Source organism: Homo sapiens, chromosome 4 (assembly GCF_000001405.40).
Source record: "Homo sapiens chromosome 4, GRCh38.p14 Primary Assembly".
Lineage (NCBI taxonomy): Eukaryota > Metazoa > Chordata > Mammalia > Primates > Hominidae > Homo > Homo sapiens.
The window spans coordinates 179,089,562-179,098,267 of NC_000004.12; the positions used below are offsets into that span (position 1 = coordinate 179,089,562).

Below are 8,706 nucleotides of genomic sequence, written 5' to 3' on the forward strand. Positions count from 1 at the left end.
TTGACATAATCATATGGCTTTTCTTCTTTAACATCTTAATATGGTGTATCATTTTGAATGATTTCCAATATCAAATCAGCTTTGCATCTCTGGAATCAACTTATTTGGACATGGTGTGTAATTATTTTTTAAGTTAGTAAATTCTGTTTGCTAATATTTTGTTACAAACTTTGCACTTTATATTCATGACAGATATTAGCTTTCTTCCTTTTCCCCCTTTTCTATCTCTTTCTAGTTTTGATATCTAGGTAATTCTAGATTCATTAAAAAAACTGGGAAATGTTTTCTCCTCTTTGATTTCTTGGAAGAGATCATGAGGAATTGGTTTTTCCTTGAACAATCAGCAGAATTATTTAGGAAAATCATTTGGGTTTAGAGGGCTTTTCATTGTTGTTTTTAACCACGAAGTCAATTTTCTTAATAATTAATAGGACTATTCAGTTTCCTTTATACTGGATGAAGTGTAGGAATTTGTACTTTTCTAGGGATTGGCCCATTTTGTGTAACTTGTCAAATTTTGTATGCAGAGCCTTTTGTAGTATTGTTTTATTATCATTTTAGTGTCTGTGTAGTCTGTTGTGATTTTCCTCCTTCATTATTGCTATTAGTAACTTGTGTCTTTCCCTCTTTGTCAGTCTTGAAAGAAATTTGCAAAATACATTGATCTTTGCAAAGAACCAGCCATTTTTTATTGATTTTCTCCATCATTTTTTCTATTTTCAATTTCATTTCTTCCTGTTCTTATCTTTATTACTTCCATCATTCTGCTTGTCTTGGGTTTATTTTGCTCCTGTTTTTCAAGGTTTTTTAGATGTGTGACAAAATGAATATTTGTTCTACCCTGACCAAATTCGTATGTTGAATCCCTAACTTCTAGTGTGTGTGATTGTATTTGGAGATGGGACTTTTAAAAATGTAATTAAAGTTGAATGATATCATAAGGGTGGGGTCCCGATCTGACAGAACTAGTATTCTTATAAGAAGAGAGACAAATGAGCTCGTTCTCTCTCTACACACATGCACCAAAGAAGGCCATGTTAGGTCATAGTGGCAGAGCTCCTATCTGCAAACCAAGAAGAGAGCCATTACCAGATTCTAAATTGCTGAAAACTTGGCCTTGAACTTCTAGCGCCTAAAATTGTGAAAAAATACATTTCTGTTGTTTAAGTCAACCAGTCTATGATATTTTGTTATGGCAGCCAAAGCAGACTAATAAAACCTGTCTACAGTGTTGTTGAGTGTGTCTTTGTATGACATGTTTCTTTTTTTAGTGGTTGCTCTATCTTATTGCAGTCTACTGGCATCAACTTTTTACCAGTTCGTAAGTAGTTTAGAAGCCTTGTTTCCCTTTATGCCCCTTTACCCTTTAACATGTATCATATAATTATCATAATTATTTTCTATACCTACGTTGAGAACCACATAGGACAGTGTTATAACTTTGCTTCAACTTTCAAACATAATTCTCTCAAGACAAGAAAAGTCTATTGTATTTACCTATATTTTTGTGAAATGTGATTTTTTCTCATGTTTCAATATACTTTATTATTATTTTTATCTGTTTAGAGAACTTTCTGTAGTCATTATTTTTAGGTAAATCTCCTGTAATTGAATTTTATTCTTTATTCTTTTTTTTTTTTTTTTTTTTTGAGACGGAGTCTCCTCTGTCGCCCAGGCTGGAGTGCAGTGGCTCGATTTCGGCTCACTGCAAGCTCCTCCTCCTGGGTTCACGCCATTCTCCTGCCTCAGCCTCCCGAGTAGCTGGGACTACAGGTGTCCGCCACCACGCCTGACCAATTATTTTTGTATTTTTAGTAGAGACGGGGTTTCACCGTGTTAGCCAGGATGGTCTCGATTAACTGACCTCGTGATCCACCCACCTTGGTCTCTCAAAGTGCTGGGATTACAGGTGTGAGCCACAGCGCCCGGTCTTGTTCTTTATTCTTTATCTGAGAATGTCTTTCTCCTCCACTTTGAGGGATATTTTCTCTCAATATAAAATTCTGGCGTGACAGTGCTTTTTATCTGTGTGTGTGTGTTTGTATGTGTATGTGTGTGTGCATGTGCACATGTGCTTTCTTTCAATACATGAAAAATATTGAGACACTTCTTTCTGGCTTCCTTGGTCTCTGATGAAACATCCATTGTCATTCGAACTGTTTTTCCCCTACAGATAATATGTCATTTTACTCTTTCCCTTCTTTCAATATTTTTTCTTAGTGTTTAGTTTTCAGAAGTTTGATTATCATGTGCTTTGGTGTAAATGTCTTTGACTTCATCCTGTTTGCAGCTTGTTAAACTTTCTGAATTTCTAGACATCTTTTTCCACAAATTTGGGAGACTTTCTGTCATCTATTTTTTTGAATAATGTTTTCAGCCTTGTTCATTTTTTTTTCTTCCTGAAAATCCAGGGACAAAAATTTTAGTTTTATTGTTTAATACTATAGCTTTTGATGCCCTGTTAATCTGTGTGTATTTTCCCTGTAGCTATCGTTGTTCCTCTTGTCTCATTTTATCTCTTTTGTTCTGTTTGGATAATTTTAATATTCCTATTTTCAAATTAACTCTTTCTTTTCCTCCATTCAGCAGTTCTGTCTATCAACTGTGTACTTTATTTTGCTTATTGTAATTTTCTGTTCTACAATTTCATGTTCCTCTTTTTCTTCTATTTCTTTTTTGAGACTCCATATTTGCTGAATCTTTCTACTTTTTCAGTGTTTAAACATGTTTGTAATTGCTCACTGTAGCACTTTTATAATAAATGTTTTAAAATTTTTACAAAAAATTTTAACATCTGTGCTATCTTGGTGGGAATTTATTGATTTTGTTTTTCGTTAGTTTGAGTTTTCCTGGTTCTCGGTATGATAAGTAATTTTATAGAAACTTGAGCATTTTGAACATGACTCTATGTTTTAGCCCTTCTGTTTTATTCTCCTGACTCCTGATGATCCATTATTACTGCCCTATCAGGGCCCCTCACTTGGCATGTATTGACACCCACAAAACATCTCATAAATGCTGAGTAATGGTGGGTGTTCTGGCTCTCTTCTAAGCCTCCTGTGATATATCTGGTTGGGATTATCTTAGTACTCTTCCTTATTTTTAATCCACAGACTGAATGGAAGTGTGAGTGATCAATACTACTGGGCTGTGGTGAAAGTCCTGATACTCTACAATGTTTCCTCTGACACCATCCAAAAGAGGAAGACATGAGAAGGGAACCTGAGAACACTGCTTAGGTAGCAATCTGTATTCCTCGCTGTGGTCACTGCTTTTCCAGAGGGGTATGGGTTTGCCTGGCTATTGCCTGGTAGGGATGTAAGGTCTGGACTTATAACTATATTTCTTTGATACCACCTTAGTAAGAGTTCTGGGGTGTCTAATTTTGGCCTGAAGAGCATGAAATCTTAAATTTCCTACTAGGTCTGTTGTGGTATGGGTACAAATAGGGGGACTTATATTTTTTCTGAAATATTTGTCTGTATAGTGCAATTATTGTCTAAAGGTTTTGTCTGTACCCTTTGGTATTTCCAGTTGTCAGTTTCTTTGGCTCTAAATTCATGATATAGAAAGAAAAACAAACAAAAAGAAAAACAAGGATCTCACTATCCTGTAGTTCCTTGGGTCCAGAGGTCTCTATTTAGTCCTGTTTTTTCTCTGCCTTTCAGAGTCTTCTTATAATTTTCATATGTATTGCCTAAGGTTTTTATTTGTACTTAGCAGAAAGAGTAGGGAAAATACAACTACTGCAACTTTCTAGAAGTCTTATAAAATCTTTTTAAGCATAAAAACCGTAAAGTCATATATACTTGTGTGTCCATTAATCTATATTATCTGTATTTTGTACATGTATAGAGAGGTTTCTAACAATATTTGAAAAATTTAACTATATCTGCTGTTTTAAGTACCAACTCGTTATTTCATCCACTCAAAGTTAAACTTTTAATCATGTATGTGTTATTCTGTTCTCTGTCATCTGCAAATTTGGTATTTTCCATAGATTGATTAAAATTATTGATAAAATGTTGATAAAACAGAAGATAGGACTCCAGATAAAGCTATGACATACTGTATTTTATCAATTACTTATTTATATGTACATCCAGCAACTGCTTTTTCAATGTTTTTTCATGACCAGTGATTGTATTAATTAATGGCCATAAAAATCTAAAAAGCAAACAAAAACACAAAAACAAAAATACAAACAAACAAAAAATGAAAACCACCTTCTATTCCCCGAAGTTTATACATCTGGTAAGTGAAGTAGAGAGATGCTCATGCATGCACACTCATATTCACAAACACATTTTAGAAAATCCAGAGTCTATAAAATAAATTATATATATTATATATATGATTATATATAATGTATAATATATACATATATCATATATAAATATGATATATATATATATATAGTGGTGGCATATGTGTAAAAGGTACTAAGTATTCCTAAGGCAGAGAAGATGGCAGTACACACATTTTACTGACTGATAAACAGATACTAGGCCTTGTGGTAACAGGATAAACTTCTAAGTGTAAATGTATAAAAGAAGCTTCTGATTTCTGAGAACTTTAATACTAGTGATACTATTAGGAAAACTGTTAGTCTCAGCTGGATGAGAAGGTATAATGAATATTACTAGTGTGATTTTTTACTAGGATTGAAAGCTGACTTATACAGGTGGGTGTTATTGTCATTCCATTTACGTTTAGTGAGATGAAATAGCATTTTACATGATTGCCCAGTTAAGAATTTGTTGAACTGGATTCAAACCCAGGGCTGTCTCACTCCAAAGTACAAGTTTTTGATTACTATATTATATTGTCTTCTCAATATATAACAGGTATTTATGGGTCAACATAATGTGATATACATGCACAGATCTCTTTTGTTTGGGAGGAGTTAGTGTGTTGGTGTCTGGGCATATCAAAAAGAGGGGATAGATTGCATATATTTTCATCAATATTTCCTCAATATTGTTCCTCCAAACTGAGATTTTGATAAATATTTAGAGATTAAAATAAATGCAAAATTATACTCCCTGACAATACTCTGCTTGAAAATTATTAAAAGGCACTCATCAGACACATGTTGAGCTGACAAGGTATTAATACCCTTCCATGAAAGCTGAACAGCGTAAAAGGCATCTGAATTGTAGAACATTCAACCTATATTCAGACATAAGCCTTGGGAGGGGCCTCAGGCAGAGCAGCCAAAATTAACTTCAGATAATGGTTTTCAATTCACTTTACTGCACAGTTGACTTGAGAATTAAGCTCACAATGTTCTGTTTCACATATTATGGCTGAATTTGTTTTACCTTGAGCATTTCTGAATGCAGGTATAAATTGATGCCTGCCTAAACCAATGTAAAGATCTTAGTAAATCCCATAGATAAATTCAAGGGAAAAAAAGTTACTACGAGTGTCAAATGCCAGAAAAAAATTTAAATAAAATCAGGATTGAAGAGTGCTGAATGAACTTGGTGGTAGAATCATCAAAAGCATTATTCAGTAAACTTTCAGTGAAGAGTTAGATACAAGAGTAAGACTGGAATGGGTAAATAAGTGAATGCAAGGTAAACATATGGACTGAGACATATTGCCATAACTCTACAGCTCTTTTTCTTTTCATAGTCAAACTTTTTAAAGCTTTTAAAGTCTTTTTAAGTTGATAAAAAATGTAAAGACGTTTATGTGCTCAAAGAAAGGTGAAGATGCACAGTAGTGAGGCTAGAAGGTTCAGGCACATCTTTTACTAAAACAATGGTGACAGTCAAACTCCACAGCACAGAAACATTAATTTGCTTTGCATAGGAAAAAGTTTATTTCTTTGGAGAAGAAGTCAGGTGGATACATAATTCTCAACTTCAGGCATCCCACTTTCCCATTGTCATGCTCTTGTGTAATCTCTTCCTTTCAAGGGAAAGTTTAACCAAGTGAATATCTGATAATGTATAAAATATGCAACACAGAGGATATGTCAATTATATCAGCATTCTATTGCTCTCTCTCTGCTTCTGAGAGAAGTAAGTTGCCTTGATGTAGCTACCCCATGGAGAAGTTCATGTGACAATCAACTGTTATCTCAGATCAAAAGTCAGCAAAGACCTGAGTCCTCTAACATTCAGGAAGGAGCCTGGAAGCAGGTCCTTTCCCAGTCAAACTTCGTGATGACTGCCGCCACAGCTGACAACTCAATGGCATCCTTATAACAGACCTTGAGCTAGAGTCTCCCTGTCAAGCTGCACCAGATTTCTGATCCACAGTGAGAGAGGTGGAGATAAAGTATACAGGTTGTTAGAAATGTCACATATTTTAGTTGACTATGTCTGAATTTCATTGTAATAGTTTATCATAAAGATAAAAAACATTTTATAAAATATAAACTGGGGAAGATATTTTCAGACTGTACTCCTCTAAGGCCTTTTGAGTGGTTCCGGGGAGCAAGTGAATCAGCACCATGGAGAGCTCCATGAACATGCAGCTGTAACATTCACTTAGTGTCACTATTTATGTCTCCTTGTTTTTAGCTCTGTTATAAAATGTCCATCTTATTGATACATATTCTCCACCCTTTTCACTAAAGTCTTTAACGTATTTTTAATAGTTAAAATAAATTTTCTGTCTGATAGTTCCAGTAGCTAGGGCATAATTGAGTCTGGTTTTGTTGATTACTTTCTTTATTGAGAGTGCTTGCTGTCCTTGTTTCTTTGTGTGTGTGTGGTTTTTTTTAATGATTTTGGATTGAAAGCTGGTATCTCATGTTAGCCAACAGAGACTAAATTAAATAATATCAATGCCTGCACATGGACACATTTCTTTTGCTTCTAGGCCTTCAGTGTGGGATGTTGATACAAAATTTACATGGAGTAGAGAGGGTCCTTATTCCTCTTGGATCCAATACTTTGAAGGGTTATGTAATACTGCATCTCTGGGTCTTCTTTACCCACATACAGAAACTAACTGAGAATGAAATCACAAGAGGAAAGTAGCACCAAAGAGAAGAGGCTGAAAAAGACACCTCTTTATATTTTGAACAAGAAAACCTTTTAACCTGTAAGAAAATAACTTTTGCTGGCTTCTCAGAAAATTGAGGTAAAAGAACAACTCACTAGTCTGAAGCCTAAGGAAAGACACACAATTCTAAAGAGGTTCAGGTCTTAAGCACTTGAAACTTGCAGTGGATGTCATTTGATGTACAAACTCTTAAGAAGAACTACAGTAATATTTTCAATAAATTATTAAAATGCGTGTAGGCCATTGTGGGGATACATAAACATTGGAGGCTACAGACCCAAGAGCCATTAGCACTTATAGGCTCTTCTTCATGAATCCAATTGAATGCTTATGAGAAGGACTGAAGTCAGGATGAGAGACCAGAGAAAGAATTCTTTGTGCAAATTTGGAAAAGAAGAGCTCTATGCTCCTCCCCCTTTCATATTATGTGGGAAAGTGACACCACCTCAGAATGATCCTTGATCATTTCCTCCCTATGAGAAAAGACATGAAGACATTGGGACAAGAGGAGTAAACCCTGTTGCGTTTGGAGCACAGGTAAAGATCCATTGCAGCTAGGGGAAGGGAAGAGAAGGCATCTTACTCTACACCTGAGTGATGGGTAGGAACAGTACACAGATATGCCCTATAACTAGCATGGAGACAGCATCACTGAGAAGATACCTAAGTCTGATGCTAAACCAAGACAACTGAAAATTACCCCACCCTCCCCATCCAAAAGCTGGCATGCACTGAGTAACAAACAACAGCAATCCATTGTTGGGGAGGCTCAAGAGCACGAGAGACACATTTTCTGAGGCACAAGCACAGATAAAACACCTAAAACTGAGGGTGGAGCAAAATTCAGTAAAACCATGAGAAGAATTAACTCCCACATTAAGAACAAGATAATTATGGAGGAATCTGAAGCCCATGGTATGTGAGCATAGCCATAACAACAACACAACCAACCCAGATAACTCCTAAATAGGTTGACTCAACATCCCACAACAAAGGCTTAGAAGAAAAAGAAATGTGCCTATTGGCAGACATTGATATGATTTAACACAGTCTCTGTTGGCTTACGTGAGATATCTAGCTTTTAATCCTAAGTCATTAAAAAAAACCACAAAGAAACAAGAATAGTAAGCACTCTCAATAAAGAAAGTAACCAACGAAACCAGACAAATATGCCCTAGTTGTTGGAACTATCAGAGAGAAAATGTTTTACAACTATGAAAAATACATTAAGAACTCTAGTGAAAAAGGTGAAGAATATGCACAAATAAGATGGGAATTTTTTTAAAGAGATGAAAACAAGGAGACAGAAATGGTAGCACTAAGGGAATGCTGTCTCTGCTTTGTCACGGAGCTCTCCATGGTGCTGATGCACTTGCTCCACTAGAACCACAAAAAAGGCCTTTGAGAAGTATAGTCTGAAAATATCTTCCCCCATTTATATTTGATCAAGGGTCATTTTTTATCTTTATAATAAAATGTTACTATAAAATTTAAACATAGTCAACTAAAATATGAGACATTTCTAACAAGCTGTCTGCTTTATCTACACCTCTGACTGCATATAGTGAACTTTGGGCAGTGGAGCTTTTATTGAGTTTCCCTCAATTAACACATGTCTCAGAGTGAATATATTTTTTAAGCTGCCTATAAAATTTTCTGTCCTTTTAGTTTTGGTACTAAAGT

At 35.2% G+C, this 8,706-nt stretch overlaps 2 annotated features.

Moving 5' to 3' along the window:
- Positions 6,381-6,581: a silencer, noted in NCBI's record as "peak5156 fragment used in MPRA reporter construct". NCBI's record gives its function as "represses an SCP1 promoter by STARR-seq MPRAs in K562 erythroleukemia cells {active_cell/tissue: K562}" and the evidence as "EXISTENCE:reporter gene assay evidence [ECO:0000049][PMID:32103011]".
- Positions 8,281-8,481: a silencer, noted in NCBI's record as "peak5157 fragment used in MPRA reporter construct". NCBI's record gives its function as "represses an SCP1 promoter by STARR-seq MPRAs in K562 erythroleukemia cells {active_cell/tissue: K562}" and the evidence as "EXISTENCE:reporter gene assay evidence [ECO:0000049][PMID:32103011]".